The 18,178-nt window shown below is 35.3% G+C and overlaps 1 protein-coding gene across 23 annotated transcripts in view, besides 1 other annotated feature; it reads left to right on the top strand.

The window, feature by feature from the left end:
- Positions 1–18,178, top strand: part of NAALADL2 (N-acetylated alpha-linked acidic dipeptidase like 2) — a 1,369,567-nt gene that overhangs the window by 907,510 nt on the left and 443,879 nt on the right. The gene's annotated exons all lie outside the window — the stretch shown is intronic.
- Positions 942–991: an enhancer, noted in NCBI's record as "active region_20834". NCBI's record gives its function as "activates an Ori minimal core promoter by ATAC-STARR-seq in GM12878 lymphoblastoid cells {active_cell/tissue: GM12878}" and the evidence as "EXISTENCE:reporter gene assay evidence [ECO:0000049][PMID:35858748]".

Raw genomic sequence — 18,178 nt, forward strand, 5'->3', positions numbered from 1 at the left:
GAGGTTACATGTCCAAAATCAAGGTGTTGGCAGGGCCATGTTCCCCCTGAAGGTTCTAGGGTAGGATCCTCCCTTGCATCTTCCCAGACTCCTGCAGTTGTCAACACTCCGTGGTGTTCCTTGACTTGCTGCCTCACTCTAATTTCTGCCTCCATCTCCCCATGGCTGTGTTCCTTCTGTGTGTGACGGTCTCTATGGTTTTTCTTTAAGGATACTAGTGATTGGATTTAGGGCCACCCTAATCTGTATAACTTACATCTTAATTACATCTGCAAAGACTCTTTTTCTTAAGAGGGCCACATTCACAGGTTACTGGAGGTAGGACTTCGACACACCGTTTTGGGGAACACAATTCAATCCGTTATAACGTGTATCTATTTTTAATTGAATTTTTGCATGATTACAGAATAACCGTTTATAAAGTTTTGAAAACCCAGAAGCAAAAAGAAGAAAATAAAGCATCCCTGTTAATCTTACCAAATGGATACTTATTCTAGTTTTTACATTTTCCCTATGCATATACGTAGAGGAACACACATACATAGTTGAGTTTCTTTTTCTTTTAATTAGTCTTTTGTGGGGGACATGTTGTTGTACTATGGATATATAGGGGTGACTGAAAACATGGCCCCCACCATCAGAGAATAAGAATGAAAGAGAGAGAGAGAATCCTAATCACACAAATAAACACATAATTCCACTGGACAACTGCTATTAAAAAAAAAAAAAAAAGATGTCCAGTGTAATCCTAGCTTGTTCCAGAGACTGAGGAAAGCAGTTGAACCCAGATCTGAAGTATGTTAAGCAACAACTATGTGGATAAGAAAGAGTGAGACCTACTAAACAGGGGAGGTGCATGTACCAAGGCCAGGTGGCAGGAAGTAGCAGGCCAAAGAAGAAATTCACAAAAAACCACAGAGACTAGAGTGTGCGGAGGGGGAAATGAGGCATAAAGCTTTAATTCAAGAGGTAACTGGAAAAGGCCCATAGGCCATGTTAAGAAAGAAATTCTGTCTTCATCCCAAAAGCTTGGGGAAGTCACTGAACTCTCCTATGCGGAGTTTTCCTTTTTAAATATGACTCTTTTTTTTAAGAAAACAGACCCTTGCTTCAACCTTTTCTTCTCTTGCTCCTTATCTTTAACTGTGTTTGTAGAAGGTGAGAAAATGTGAACTACAGAAAGTTTGAGGAGACTGATACTCAGTATTTCTCTGTTTGGGAGAGAAAGGATAGAAAGCCTAAACCCCACTCTATTTGCACCATAGTAGCCATATACCCCCGTTTTTAAAAACTATGTCAAGAACCTGATGAGTGCTGAAATCAAGGCCGATGACTGGAAACTGTCTACCTGCTTGTTTCTTTCCCTCACATTAGAGAGAGCCTGGCTAGCATGTGCAGTGGACTTATTGGATGGAAAGTTGGATGACTGTTTATTCTACTCTCAGAAAGACATGACTGTCATTAATCCCATGGGTCTTCTTCTATGTTTGTGACTCCTCCGAAGGCACTTCAGGCACACTTACAGTTTTTCATGCTTTCCAGTTACAAACACAAGGCTTGATTGAAAAAAAAAAAAAGGATAAACTTAATAGTCCTTAATTAAGTCTTTCTTTCAATCAGAAAAGAATATTCTTGGCAATGTGTTTTTCCCTTGTTTTAGTAGGCTGGCTTTTATCCTTTTCCTTTTGGTTTTGATACTCCTTGCTCTCTGTTATATTTACTCATTTATTAAAATATTAGACAAGATAAAGCAATAAAGGCAGTAAAAATATACTCCTGTTGCAAACAATTTATTCTGATAAACTGATTAAAAATAAATTCCAACTTAAGTCCTATGTTGAGGTAGAGAAGCAGTGAGAAGCAGATATCTGTCTCTGAGGGAAAATGAGAAGTGTAGGTAGAGAAAGGTTTTTCTTCCGTTCATACTGCTAATTTGGATGGTGTGTTCAGAATGCACATGGGCCTCTGAAACTCTGATGGGCAAACATGTTTCAAAGGACTCAACAGCAGTCAGAGAGGCAATTCCAGAAGGGTAGGGGTGGGAGAGTCTAGAATCAGAACACTGATGCAGCCATATCTACCTTTGTGTATTGTACCCACATTAGGCGTCTCTTTTTCTCCTGCTAAAGATTCAGGTGAGAGTTATGGCTGATAAATGGGAAAGGAGAGGAGTGGGAAGACAAAGAAATCATGAATTTTTTGTAGGGAGAAGTCTCTCACTTTAAGACATGTGTGTGGAAGAGCCAAGAAGTATTAAAGTAAACTGTCTCTCCTCCCTTTTATTCCTCTAGTTAACTCAATGGCCTCTGGGGAAATGTGTTTGTGTGTTTGGGGACAATTAAAATTAAATTAACTTACTGAATTGTAAATAAAATTATCTCTGCTAAGAATTCAATCTTTTTTTTTCTCAAATGGATACTTTCACATACATACAAATTATCCTGGTACTTTTTTTCATTAAAAACAGAAATAGATGATTTTATAATTACCAACAGCAGATAGTTTTCCTAAAGGAAAAAAAGTAGCTTTGAAACATTAAAATTATCAATTGCATATACTTTGGAGTGTGACTTTAATATGTTCAGTAAATGTGCTGCAAACTTGTAAATTGTACAGTATGCATCATAGAATAACTTCAATGAGTCTCACTTTTCAAGGTCACTTAGGTGAAATGTAATAATTATTGGCTTCAACACAGCAAAACTCTACTCACTTTAATAATGTTATCTATGATATATTTTTTGATTTTTAAAAAAATAGCTGTGCATTTCTCAATAAAATAAATACTCATGATCAAGTAAATTGACACTATATATATGTTCATGTGTATATGATAAAAATCTGATGTGCATATATATGTGTAATTTTAGTTTCATACATGAAATACTTTATATATGATATATATACATATATGATAACATTATATGTATGTATATGCACACACAATCCACGTCCAAACAAGTATTTTCCAAATAATTTTTTTTTGCTCACATACAACTACTACCATAGATTCAAAATGTTGAATAAATCAGTAGTTTTATCATTTATTTTGGACAATAGAAGATAGACAGTTGAATGTAAGGTATGAGGAAGGAACGTATAGACAACACTGACTGCAGTAGGTTTTCCCCATATTGGACTGGCAGGAAAGCTGGTGAATTTGCGTACGTGTGGCAATCAGTAGGTCACAACCAGCGAATTGCGATATCTTCAGGGTATTAATGAATCTGGTACAACTTATCTAAACAATCAAATTTGAGGAAAGATGGCAATGAACTAGTTGGAGAGGAAGGGAGGGGAAAATGGAGAGGAAATAACAATGGGGGTTTTCCAGGAAGTTCCTAGTCATCCATTTGGGGGTGGCGAATGTGTTTATCTGATCTTAAAGCAATTACATCATAGAAATAAAGGAGACACTCCACTAAACCTCCAGTCATTTTATCCAAACCAGCAAGTTGTGTGATGCACACTGCAGTAATAGGATTAACCCTCTGCAATAACAGGATGGACCCACACACAGAATTTGATTTGGATGTTGATGCTCACAGTGACACGCATGCATCGAGAGGGTATGAAGAGGTTTCTCCTGCATAGAATGAGGCTCTCTGTGGATTTCAGGTGGCTCTCAAACATGCTCTATATTGGTGAGAGACAGAAGGAAAGGAGACTGGCTTGGATTTTTTTTTTTTTTTTAATGGGGGCTAGGACATGGGACCAAGCTGTGGCTTCCTCTTTGTGGTTTAAACTTTCATTGGCAAAGGAGATATCACCTGGGCTTTCTTCACAGCTTGCCCATAGGTGAGGCTGAGGAGAAGAAGGAAGGGTGAGGCTTAAAAGCTGTCAGCAGTCAAACAACAAAAAATGGAGTTGGACTCTTTATTTACACAAAGGGATCCGAATGTACTGTGTACTGAGACCTCATCTGTCAAATTCACTATCCCAAAATTACAATTACAGATAATTTTGTCCAGAGTTAAGGTGGGTTTAAAGCATTCCTTCAAGTTTCTTACCTTGTTAGGTGAGGCCTATCAAATCTTCAAATATTTTCCTTTCTGCCAATCATAGGATATAAGGTGCTGCCATTCAAGAACTATTCCTAGTGCCTCAAAGTCTCAAGAGAAGGAAATACTCAGATATTTCAATAAACGATGCCTTAATAGTAAGCAATTTAACAAAGGTGTGAAGCTCAGTGTTTGTTTCTGGACTAAGAGGGAGCAGAGAGAATTGAACAGCAGCTTGAAGCAATGGGCACAATGACATAATAGATTTAAAAGAAAATAATGTTTTATGTCAAAATTGTGCTGAATTACATTTATGGGTATGGGTATGGGTGTGGGTGTGGGTGTGTGGGTGGTAGAAAAGGAAAAGACAAGAAGAATCTTTCGTCCAACGTGAGCTCTCACAGGTAACTGAGTGTTAAACCTGCCACTTATACCTAGCCTGCCTGGACTCCAGCAGGTATTCATTATTTCTTCAGCTATTGTTTTCTTGAAATCAACGAACCCTGAAAGACAGGGCATTCTCACTAATTCAAAAGGATGATATGGAATTTCTGTTATTTTTTTAAACTTCCCTCTGTTTTATTTACTCATTTATTCAAATATCCATTTAATAAAATGTGTGTGTGTGTGTGTGTGTGTGTGTGTGTTTGGCTCTGTATTGTTATTAATTTGCACAGTCTGATACTGCTTTTAGTTTGTGATTTAAGAAACTTTGAATTAGAATATCAGTATTGTTGAGTGTGATGGCATGCACCAGTAGTCCCATCTACTTGAGAGGTTGAGGTCGGAGGATCTCTTGAGCCCAGGAATTTGTGTTCAGCCTGGGCAACGTAGCAAGACCCTTGCCTCTAAAAATACAAATAAAACATATAATATTAGTATTCGTTCAGCACATATTTACTTAATATTTAATGTATTCTCTCATCCCAAAATTATTCAAAATCCTTAAAACCTAAAGATAAAAGGGCATAGTTTCTATATAAATAATGATTATGAATTGCTACTGCATTAAACAATTTCAAAGGTGAGAAGACTAAGACATGTCAAACTTAGGTGATTTACTCAAGATCACAAGGAGACCAAATAATATAGCTGGTTTCTTGCTTTTCAGTGCATTGTTGTTCTACTATCATTTTGAGTTTCAAAGACTCTTCAAAGAAAATGTAGGATTTGTTGATAGGCAAGCTAGCTTGAAAGGAAAAGATTTGAAATCTAACAACCACTGATTTTCAAATATTTTATCTAATTCCCTCAAACCTAGTTTCCAAATACAGCAAATTTTTCACTCATCATATTTTGTCACACTGTTTAGTGGATAAAAATACTTTCAGTGTCTATGAGAGAAAGAGTCAAATGAAAACTAAAACTACCAAAGGTGTGCCTTCATGATAACCAAGAATTTAGTGGAATTCTGTCACTTGAAATTACCCAACAGCTGGAAGATTGACATCATATATGTAACACATTTGTTGTTTGTATACTTATAAATTGTTTTCAGAATGAGAATTATGGAGCTATTTTTCTCTTATAAACTTGTGTACCACTGCAGCTTTTTCTATACCTGTGTCCCATCTTCACTCTCAGCCTTCTCAGCCTTTGCTCCCAGCCCTTATTTCCATTGTTTTGTTAAAAGCTTAATAAATCATTATTTAATTTTAAAGAAAGTTATCAAACAAGAAGAGCAGTAGTAATGTACCTTATCGATGACACCTTGATCATGATTGACACTTCAGGGTAAGAAAGAATTAGTATGGTCCAACCTAACTTTAAATATAAATTATGTAGAAACCATTACTCTTGAACAGACTAAAGGATATTCTGAAATGTATTATAGATTCAAAAATCAAGTGAAACATTAAATATTTGAAACAGGATCAATTTATAAACTTACAACTGATAGCATGAAGATAATATTTAATAAAATCTTAATACTATTAGTAATACTCAAGAAATAAAGACAGAAGAAAATATTTTTTCAGAATCTTGTCATATTCGCATGTTATTACACTCTAAAAAATGTTGACTTCCTGTTCAGGGATGATTCTATCACATATACATTTTTTCCATGTTCTATAAAAAGGTGAGTTTTTAAAAATCGAAAATTGATTTACCTTTTTTCATTAGATTTGAATTATTTAAACTTAACATATACTATTATTTTTGTTTTTAGAGATGGAATCTTGCTATGTTTCCAGGCTAGAGTGCAGTGCCGATTCACAGACACAATCATAACTCACTGTAGCCTCTAACTCTGGGTCTCAAGTGATCCTCCTGCCTCAGCCTCCTGAGTAGCTGGAATTACAATGTGTGCCACTATGCCCAGTTGCATATATTACTCTTGTTTGCAATTGACTTATAGGGCACTATACATACATACATACATATATATACACACACACACACACACACACATATACACACATATATATGTGTGTATATGTGTATATATATAATTTGTGTATGTGTATATATAATTTTTAAATATATAATTTTTCCAATTTTATTTATATATATAATTGCTATATATATATGTGTGTGTGTGTGTGTGTGTGTGTGTGTGTGTGTGTATACATATATTTTTTCTTTTTTTCTTTGAGGCAGAGTCTTGCCCTGTCGCCCAGGCTGGAGTGCAGTTGCATGATCTTGGCTCACTGCAGCTCCTGCCTCCTGGGTTCAAGCGATTCTCCTGCCTCAACCTCCCAAGCAGCTGGGACTACAGGTGTGCATCACCACACTTGCTTATTTTTGTATTTTAGTAGAGTCAGGGTTTCACCATGTTGCCCAGGCTGGTCTCGAACTCCTGACATCAAGTGATCCAACCACCTCAGCCTCCTCCCAAAGTGCTGTGATTACAGGTGTTAGACACCGCGCCCAGCCACAGCACAATAAAATTTTGACTATGAAATGAGATGTCTGTTCAAGCAATCAACCAGCAAGTGCATGAGACCTGATATTGTAGGCACTGTGGAAGACAAAGAGGAAATATAATTACATTAAACTACCTTTACTGATTGCGCTCAGGCTGGCTGAAGTGTCAACTGAGGCTATGTATCAAAATTCTTGAGTCTCAGCTTGGACATCAGAAACTTAGGTTTATAATCTAGTTTTGCTACTTACTTTGAAATTAGGAACTTTATTTAAACACAGAAATCCTGCTCTTTCTCATCTGTAAGGTAATGATAATAATAACAATAACAATACCTACTTCAGAAGATGCCTGGGAATACTTCATGTAAACAAAATTTTAACATACTGCCTTGCTTCCAATGTGAGTGTAGTAAATGGTAGCTGTTATTGTTGTCATCACCAGAAATGAAGTAGAGATTAATTAACAGTTTACTTTTGGTGGGTGTAGTAGTTACTAGAAGTGTTACCCAATGTGGCAAGTGAAGCTTGAACTTGAACAAGACCTTGACAAATGGGTAGGCAGATAACTAAAATATTCTTCCTAAGTTAAGAATTATAAGCACAAGTAGGGAGAACATGAGATTTTTGAGGGTACTGAGAACAACCAGCTTGGAGTGAAAACTCCATATCTTGGATAAAAACAAACAGTTTCAATAGGGATTTAAGATCACTTTGAAAGAGGACCTTGGAAACCGAGGAAGAAGAACTGAAACAGTGTTTACTAAATGCCTTCTCATCACTGCACCAAGCCGGGGGTAAGAGGAGTAGGTGGTAAAATGCAGAGGAAAAAGAAAGTCTTTAAGTCCCTTGAGGTATAGTTCAACAGAACTCTTTAGAATGATAGATAGTAGAATTTTAAGGAATGTCAATTGCCTTCAGCCCCAAAGAAAAAAATAATATCCACCGGGCAAGGTGGCTCATACCTGTAATTCAAACACTTTGGGAGGCCAAGGTGGGAGGATTGCTTGAGCCCAAGAGTTCAAGACCAACATAGTGAGACCTCATTTCTACAAAAACTAAAAATAAATTAGCTAGCATGGTGATGCCTGCCTGTGGTCCCAGCTACTTGAGAGGTTGAGGTGGGAGGATTGTTTGAGCCCAAGAGGTTGAGGCTACACTGAGCCATGATCACACCACTCTACTCCAGCCTGGATGACAGAGCAAGACCCTGTGTCAAAATAATAATAATAATAATAATAATAATAATAATAAAGAAATAAAAGAAAATACCATTGTATTCATATTGAAGAGAGAAACATAAGGAGCCATGAAGAAGTTCTTGAGAGTTCTAATTGATGTTATAGAAGAAAAGCTAGGCACCAGAGTGCAAGACGAAAGGAAGACAAGACAGTAGACATGAGAAAGAATTTGAAGCCACAATGGAAAAAGTGACTTTGAGGATGCATGATGAAGACCTGTAACAGGTGTAAGTTCTTGGCCAAGCATGTTTTTGTATGTTGACATGTGAAAGAGGTCTGAACATGTTCGTATAATTACTATTGTTATTTTTCCCTTCTCAGTGCTGAATGTGAAAGTGTGAGGTCTCGGGAGACTGGATGGTCTCAATAGCTCAGTTCCTTCTTGTTTATTTTGGAGTCTCTTTGCTTACGTTATTTTCAAACCGAGCTGTTTTCCTAGTCAATCATTTATCTTAACTCTCAGTGAGTCATGGAACCTTTTCTTTTTAAAGTGCAAAATCATCCTTTAAACATTTTTATATCCTCTCCTCACTATTTTTTATTCCACTTGGCTTGCTTTCATAGACATCTTCCATCCACATGGGATCCATTTTCTTCTTGCTCTTTGAAAAATAAGAAAAGTAACCTACACTAAGGAATAGGTCACAAAGATCAGTGGAGGAAAAGTGACAGGCTATGCTGCTGTATTATTTAGGCTTGACTCATCTTAAGTTGGTTACATGTATCACAAAAAGTAAGAAATGTATTGGAGAAAGGAGTTTTATTCATAGGAAAATCAGACTTATACTTCTGCCAACATTCTTAGTACATTATTTTCCTTTTCTGTATTAAAGATAAGGATCATTCAGAGATCATTTGAAAATTATAATTAAAAAGAAAATGTCTTCTTATCTGTAAGAAACAACTGTCCCATAGATTTTTCCTTTTCTTTATTTGGTATCATATTTTGATGTGAATTCTAATTCTAGTAATCAGCAACCACCCTACAAATATTCCATCACTCATGTTGACAAATTTCTAATACAATATATGCAACAAACACACAAATATCAAATGGCTCATAGTTCTGAACCTAACAAGATATGTCAGAGGCAAAGAAATATGGAGAATTATGCATTTTCTGTCTTCTTTGCGTAAAAAATTGATAACTTTGTGGCTATATCAGTCAAAGTAATGGTAGGTGTGCCTAGGGAGGTTCTACTTTATACCTTAAGTATTATAAATGAATGGATTAGAATAAAGGGAATTGGGTTTATAGAGGCCAGTGTAGGAAATGGTGAGGAAACATAAGTTAGCAACATCAGGAAGTCATTAATGCCAGAAACCAGCTGACAACATGGAGCAGACACTGGCAAAGGTGGGGAGGTTACCTAAGTTCAAACTGGCCCTGGGGGGCAGCAGATAGCTTAGTTTATGGAATTATCAAATGTAGAAAAGCTCTAAGAACTGAAATGCATGCCATTGATGATGAAAACCATAAAATCGCAAGTGACATAAATTTTTAAATAATTGGTTTTCATAAAGTTCATAGAGCTAAGCAATAGAAGAAATGGGTTATTGATTTTGTCTAAGTTTCCCACTTGTGGGCTTACTGTCCCTTTCTAGATACATACACATACATACAGGTTTTTTTTCCTAATTTTGACATGCAATCATTTTCTTCTTATTTATCCTTATAACTTTGTTACATTAGCTTATAATATAAAATTCATCTTTTTATGTAATTATGATAGTATTTTGGATTTTTCATTCTTTTTTACAGAAATGATTACTGCCTTAGGAGTCTGATTCAATTACTGGATTAAGAAGCCATTCTATTTTTTTATTTTATTGTGAAATCAACAAGCTAAAATGCTCTAAGAAAGCTAAAGAATAATCTGTCACGGGAGTAGTTTAAAAAAAAAAAGCTAAGGAAGACAGTCTCAAACAAGTTTAATGAGGCTCAGAGCTTGAGCTATTGTCTTTTAACCTATGAAAGTGACAGAATATAATAATTAAGATATAGAAATGTTTTAATGTTTTTCCAAAGGTAGGAAATAAACTCAATTTTTCTCTGTACTATACTGTGTTATCTTACTCTCATGTGCTCCCAGCACAGTGAGGTAATAGTTCATGACAAGACAACATGGTAATCTGGCAGCCACACATTTTATTGCTGATTGCCACCATTCTAAATAGCATATCTTTAAAAGATAAATGAAGATTTGAGCACAATGCAAAACATGCTTATCCTTCCAAATTTGGCACAATAAGTCAATAGGTTAAAAGGTTTAGGGCCATGCCTCTGGGAAACTGGTCCTGGGAGAGAATTAGCCCCACAGCTGTCAAGTGATAGGAAGAATGGAAAGGACTGTGAAAATGACAAGCCATGGAACTGTAAAACAAAAATACTTAGGGACTGCTCTAGGGTTCTAAATGCTGGCTCAACACTTATTATTGAAGTAACCAATTATTTTTTTAACATATTAAAAATGTAGATTTAATTCCTATCCACCAATGCTCATTGCAAGCAGAAAATGGAGACCAGCAGTTATTGCACAATCTCCAAAGTAGCAATCTCTTACTATCAGTTAAACTCATTACCCTGAAATATTCTATTCTTGCCAATATACAATCATCATTTAAAATAATTAGTTAACAATTATCTAGAATACTAAAATGACCTCCCAGAAAACTAATCACCTTGAGGGAGCATTACACTTTTTTTGCAAAGGACAAATACCACTTGAATTAATGATTTTTCCAAGATCATATTAGAGAAATATGGTGTGATTATCCATTTTAATTAGAACAACAATGGCAATAACAACAACAAGCCACTCCTTTGTGTTAAGTGCAACTGGGAGAAAATACTGAGTGGTAATAACTAAAATTCATTTCTGCCTTCTGTGTAGGAAGGATATATCTAATTATTTAATGGAAACAGAGAGAAATAATGACATTTTTAATTCAATTTTATCAAGTCATGAACTGTTTGTTTGTACAAACTATGTGCCTTTAATTTAATAGCTTGATACTGAAAAAAATTACCAACTTTTTATTTATGAGTAGTAACAATTACTTTTTCCTTTTTATGATTATAATACAATGATAAAGCACTACACTCCTCAAAGAATTAAACATTAAATTATATGGAATAGAGATATATCATGACATTAAAAGTGCTATGGGTTTATCTTTTATTTTTCTTCTTTGAATTAATAGATGTACATAGTTAAGAAATGAATTATTACTATAAAACCTAGGACCAGAAATGAAGAAAGGAGGGAGGAAGAGCAAGCAATTTGTTGCCCCACCTTTTCTGAACTCTCCAGCCAGTCCCCTAAAAGGGGCCACTTTAAGTTTTTTTAACTGTATCTTTTCTCATTTAGCTGTGTTTTCAATTACCATTTTATAATGCTATTTTGTGAATGTTAAATTGATGTCTTCTTAAGAAAGGAGATTATTGAGTATCCTTACATCCAATACTCAATGCACTTCATCTCTACTCCCTATCTCCCTATCTTATATATCTCCTATGTTTTAAACAAATCAGTATTTAGTGTTATTGCTTGTATGACTATGTAAAGCATTGTTCACAGATTAGCCATGTGGTATTATTTATTTCCATTAATTTCCTGCATGAAATTTCAATTTTCTAAAAGTTCCTATTTGTTTCTCTACTTGTTTAGTTTTCAAGGTATCTTTCATGAATTATTTCCCAAGTTACACAAACTTACTGAAAAATCTCTAAATGCCTACAAATATATCAGATGTTCTTTCCATTCCATTCTTTTAAGCTGAAGATATTGAAGCATGTTTCCCTCTTTCTTTCTCTTCTTTTTGTAAACAGCCTAATAATTCCCTTTGCCCCTCCCTCTTGCTTCTTTTCCTAAATCCTATGTATTCCCCTTCATGTTGGTGTCTTCATTTTGGAGGAAAACATTCTCCAGTAACTTCTCAGAAAGAGTGGACAGGAGATATAAGTGTTGAGATACAGCAAATTTGGAAATTATTTAGCCTATACTTGGCTTGTTATTTGGCTAGGTATGAAATACTGGGGTAAAACCAATTTTCCCTCATAATTTTCTAAGGTTTTTTAGTTTGCAGTGTTACAGATTCAATCTTTTTTCTATATATGACACTCATTGGTATAACTCTTTCTTCATTTATTTTCCTATAGCTCTCAGGGTATGTTAATTCATTCTTTTTTATGGCTGAGTAATATTCCACTGTGTGTGTGTGTGTATGTGTGTGTGTGTGTGTGTGTGTATCTCACAATTTCTTTTTTTTTAATTTTTTTTATTATCCTTTAAGTTCTAGGGTACATGTGTACAACGTGCAGGTTTGTTAAATATGTATACATGTGCCATGTTGGTGTGCTGCACCCATTAACTCATCATTTACATCAGGTGTATCTCCTAATGCTATCCCTCCCCACTCCCCCCACCCCACAACAGGCCCCAGTGTGTGATGTTCCCCATCCTGTGTCCAAGTGTTCTCATTGTTCAATTCCCACCTATGAGTGAGAACATGTGGTGTTTGGTTTTCTGTCCTTCTGGTAGTTTGCTCAGAATGATGTTTTCCAGTTCATCCATGTCCCTACGAAGGACATGAACTCATCCTTTTTATGGCTGCATAGTATTCCATGGTGTATATGTGCCACATTTTCTTAATCCAGTCTATCACTGATGGACATTTGGGTTGGTTCCAAGTCTTTGCTATTGTGAATAGTGCTGTAATAAACATACATGTGCATGTGTCTTTATAGAAGCATGATGTATAATCCTTTGGGTATATACCCAGTAATGGGATTGGTGGGTCAAATGGTATTTCTAGTTCTAGATCCTTGAGGAATCGCCACACTGACTTCCACAATGGTTGAACTAGTTTACAGTCCCACCAACAGTGTAAAAGTGTTCCTATTTCTCCACATCCTCTCCAGCACCTGTTGTTTCCTGACTTATTAATGATTACCATTCCAACTGGTGTGAGATGGTATCTCATTGTAGTTTTGATTTGCATTTCTCTGATGGCCAGTGATGATGAGCATTTTTTCATGTGTCTTTTGGTTGCATAAATGTCTTCTTTTGAGAAGTGTCTGTTCATATCCTTCGCCCACTTTTTGATGGGGTTGTTTGATTTTTTCTTGTAAATTTGTTTGAGTTCTTTGTAGATTCCGGATATTAGCCCTTTGTCAGATGGGTAGATTGTAAAAATGTTCTCCCATTCTGTAGGTTGCCTGCTCACTCTGGTGGTAGTTTCTTTTGCTGTGCAGAAACTCTTCAGTTTAATTAGATCCCATTTGTCAATTTTGGCTTTTGTTGCCATTGCTTTTGGTGTTTTAGTCATGAAGTCCTTGCCCATGCCTATGTCCTGAATGGTATTGCCTAGGTTTTCTTCTAGGGTTTTTATGGTTTTAGGTCTAACGTTTAAGTCTTTAATCCATCTTGAATTAATTTTTGTATAAGGTGTAAGGAAGGGATCCAGTTTCAGCTTTCTACATATGGCTAGCCAATTTTCCAGCGCCATTTATTAAATGAGGAATCCTTTTCCCATTTATTGTTTTTGTCAGGTTTGTCAAAGATCAGATGGTTGTAGATGTGTGGTATTATTTCTGAGGGCTCTGTTCTGTTCCATTGGTCTATATCTCTGTTTTGGTACCAGTACCATGCTGTTTTGGTTACTGTAGCCTTGTTGTATAGTTTGAAGTCAGGTAGCGTGATGCCTCCAGCTTTGTTCTTTTGGCTTAGGATTGTCTTGGCAATGCGGGCTCTTTTTTGGTTCCATATGAACTTTAAAGTAGTTTTTTCCATTCTGTGAAGAAAGTCATTGGTAGCTTGGTGGGGATGGCATTGAATCTATAAATTACCTTGGGCAGTTATGGCCATTTTCATGGTATTGATTGTTCCTATCCATGAGCATGGAATGTTCTTCTATTTGTTTGTATCCTCTTTTATTTCGTTAAGCACTATATATCACAATATCTTTATCCATTCATTGATTTATGGGCATTTGGGCTGGTTCCATATTTTTGCAATTGCAAATTTTACTGCTATAAACATGCATGTTGAAGAATCTATTTCATATAATGGCTTCTTTTCCTATGGGTAGATACCCAGTGGTGGGATTGTTGGATCAAATGATAGTTCTCCTTTTGGTTCTTTAAGGAATCGCCACACTGTTTTCCATAGTGGTTGTACTAGTTTGCATTCCCGCCAGCAGTGTAGAACTGTTTCCTGTTCACTGCATCCATGCCAACATCTGTTGTTTTTTGACTTTTTGATCATGGCCATTCTTGAAGGAGTAAGGTGGTATCACCTTGTGGTTTTGATTTTCATTTCCCTGATCATTAGTGATGTTGTTTTCTCCTGTTTTCTGATGCAACCTTTGAGTATTTGACTACCTGTATTGACATCTCAGTTTCTTTACTTTTCTCTTCTGTTATCTTTTCTGTGTATCTTATCTTGTATTATCTTATTGTATTATCTTGTTGTATTCTCTTATCTTGTTTGTTTGTTTCTGTCCCTGGAATGTACCTTGATTTTGTCTTTCAGCTTTCTATTTAGTTGTGATATCTGCTGTCATATCTTTGATTTCCAGGATCTCTTTCTTGAACTCTGATGTTTAATTTTAAAATAACACTGTCTTGCTTAATGGATATAAAATTTTTCACAATATTAATTATAAGGATGTGTTCTTTCAAGTTGTTTTCTTTATGTACAATGTCTTTTTTTGGTGCATTTTTTTCCATTTGTTTGCTTTGTTTATTTCGTATTATGGCTTTTCTTCCAATATTATTGATTCTATGCTAGACTTTCTATTTAAACATAAAATACCAAAAATATAACTGGAGACTTCGCATGGCCATGGGGAAGAGATGCTTGTCTGTGGATTTTGTTTCCTTTTATGAGATAGAATCTTCCTTGTGTCTCTCTGTCTCTGACTCTGTCTCTCTGTGTCTTTGCTTCTGTCATTTTCCAGTGTCAAATGTTGGTAATTTCCCTTGGTTCAACTAAACACACGCATACACATAAACATGCATGTACCTTAATATGAAATCATTCTCTTTTACATTATTTTTATATCACTCTCATTTTACTCTATTTTCTCATGTAATTAAAATAAATATTTGCCACTATTCTTTAAAATATCTATAACAGCATTAATGAACTGGAAAATCTGTAACAAGTATCTCAGTCTGTAACTAGAATATTGCTTTGACTTTAACTCAAGACATTCTTCTGGGTTTTGTAATCTCTCAAATATATTCACAAAATAAAACTGATATTGGGAAATAATGCATATTGAACTATCCTGTGTATTAGAAATTAGTTTCCTAGTTCAGAAGCTGCTTTGAAAACAGATTTGACATTCGATTTGAGTCCTTTGGGAATTAACACAAATGCATTTTCATCATCATTTCATTAGGATTTGAAGCAGTTATAGTTGTGATTTCTGGTAGCTGTATTTCAGAGTAAAGTGGCTGTGTTAGTGAAGACTTACCCCTGACCAACCCATGTAATTAGATTTACTGATTCAAATAAAGAAAAGAGTGATAAATTTCTGTGTGTGCACACTCACAAACTTGTGTGCTTGCGTGCCCACCATCTCTCCTCTCTCATTCCCTTTTCTTGGAAATATATAAAGGGTCCTAACTCATTTCTTTTATCTTAAGATCAGAAAATATGTCTTTTTCCTCTGCGTAAAACAAAACCAAAAGAACAGTTCCACTTTAAGACCATCAGTGGTGAATACTGAAAATCAAAGGAAGAGAATATGATGATGGGTGAAAAGAAGGCAAGAGAAAAGATGGCAGGAGAAATGTAGCAAATTTCAGGTTCTGAGGAATTGATTTGAAGTCTTAATAGTGCTAGAATTCCCTTGGGTTGTACATTCGGGAGTGATATTACCAGTTATCCGCTGTTTTTTAAATTCTTGTTTAAATTACTCAAACGTTTTAATATTCCCTCTGAGTCAAATAATACATAACCTACAGTGAGGGAAATTATTTTTGGAATGCAGCAGCTGAGACCCAAGCTTGATGTTCCCAAAACACATCTACTCCCACCAGTTCCTTCTTGCCTAAATTAATGGAGTTCTAATCTCCATTTTTGAAGACAAAGAGACCCTTTTTTTTGAGTCAAGTATAAAATGGCAGATAAATGTATTGCCTTACATGAGGAACAGATTATAAATTTGTGTTTGTGTCAGTATAATTAAGGTATTTATGAGAATAAAATACATACTCAAAAGACAGATCACAAGTTAGTCAGTGGAGGAAAGGAGACATATCTTGGAAGAAGAGTCAAACTGACATTTTTTGACAAATATGTTTTACTTATATTCTCTATGACTATCTAGTAACTTGGGGAAAGTACATTTCTGTTGGAAAATCTGATACTGTTAGTGTATGAAAATAATCTTTCTCTTAAATTGTCAAAGGAGAATTATGCATCATATAGCACAGCTTTCCATATAACTTATTTAAGTCACTATTTGGAAATTTATTCTATGCCAATTGGGTGGATGATATATTTGATTCCATATTATTAACACTACTTTGAAGGAGAAAAACAAAGTGAGTATATCAGATAATTATACTGTAAACATTTTCAATAAGTCTCTAAATTTTAGTCTAGAGCATATGGAGAAAGATGAGTGTGTGGGCTACAGTAATGAGTTACAGCAATAATTTGTTTTTACATATTAATATAAAATAAATATTGACATGATATTCTTACATATTACATTATTTCATTATTTTGGTGAATTTTTGCAAAAATCTATTTAGATAATATTATTATCCTCATTTTACAGCAGAGAAAACTGATCCGAATTCACAGACTATTAGTAAATTTTCTTAAACTGCACTACTAGTAAATGGAATAGAAGTCGCTTGGTTCCAAATCATATTTTATTTTGACAAAGGTTAAATCATTATGACCCATTGTATACTTTGATAAATTTATGTAAAATTAGATTTTGTGGATTTTTCTGATTCCACGAAGGCAAAATAACATGTTTGGTGGTCATCCTTCTCAGTACAGAAATCAAAATACCAGGTCTGAAATTGTGTGTACTTTTGAGTGTGATGAGATGGAACATTTGAAATTGTATGACCTAAAAAAATCTGAGATACATAGGATCCAAGACATGCTTAACATTAATTATGAGGCTTTGATGTATTTTCAATGGAATTTATAATTTTGCAAAATATTGTCTGATAAATTTGAAAGCAACTGTAATGAAAATAGTTACATTTTTTTTAAGCATCTGAACTTTATTATCTTTTTTTAATTATTATTATACTTTAAGTTTTAGGGTACATGTGCACAATGTGCAGGTTAGTTACATATGTATACATGTGCCATGCTAGTGTGCCGCACCCATTAACTCGTCATTTAGCATTAGGTATATCTCCTAATGCTAACCCTCCCCCCTCCCCCCACCCCAGAGTGTGATGTTCCCCTTCCTGTGTCCATGTGTTCTCATTGTTCAATTCCCATCTGTGAGTGAGAACATGCAGTGTTTGGTTTTTTGTCCTTGCGATAGTTTACTGAGAATGATGATTTCCAATTTCATCCATGTCCCTACAAAGCATATGAACTCATCATTATTTATGGCTGCATAGTATTCCATGGTGTATATGTGCCACATTTTCTTAATCCAGTCTATCATTGTTGGACATTTGGGTTGGTTCCAAGTCTTTGCTATTGTGAATAGTGCCTCAATAAACATACGTGTGCATGTGTCTTTATAACAGCATGATTTATAGTCCTTTGGGTATATACCCAGTAATGGGATTGGTGGGTCAAATGGTATTTCTAGTTCTAGATCCCTGAGAAATCGCCACACTGACTTCCACAACGGTTGAACTAGTTTACAGTCCCACCAACAGTGTAAAAGTGTTCCTATTTCTCCACATCCTCTCCAGCACCTGTTGTTTCCTGACTTTTTAATGGTTGTCATTCTAACTGGTGTGAGATGGTATCCCATTGTGGTTTTGATTTGCATTTCTCTGATGGCCAGTGATGATGAGCATTTTTTCATGTGTCTGTTGGCTGCATAAATGTCTTCTTTTGAGAAGTG

The sequence above is a fragment of the Homo sapiens genome, chromosome 3 (assembly GCF_000001405.40).
Source record: "Homo sapiens chromosome 3, GRCh38.p14 Primary Assembly".
Taxonomy (NCBI): Eukaryota; Metazoa; Chordata; class Mammalia; order Primates; family Hominidae; genus Homo; species Homo sapiens.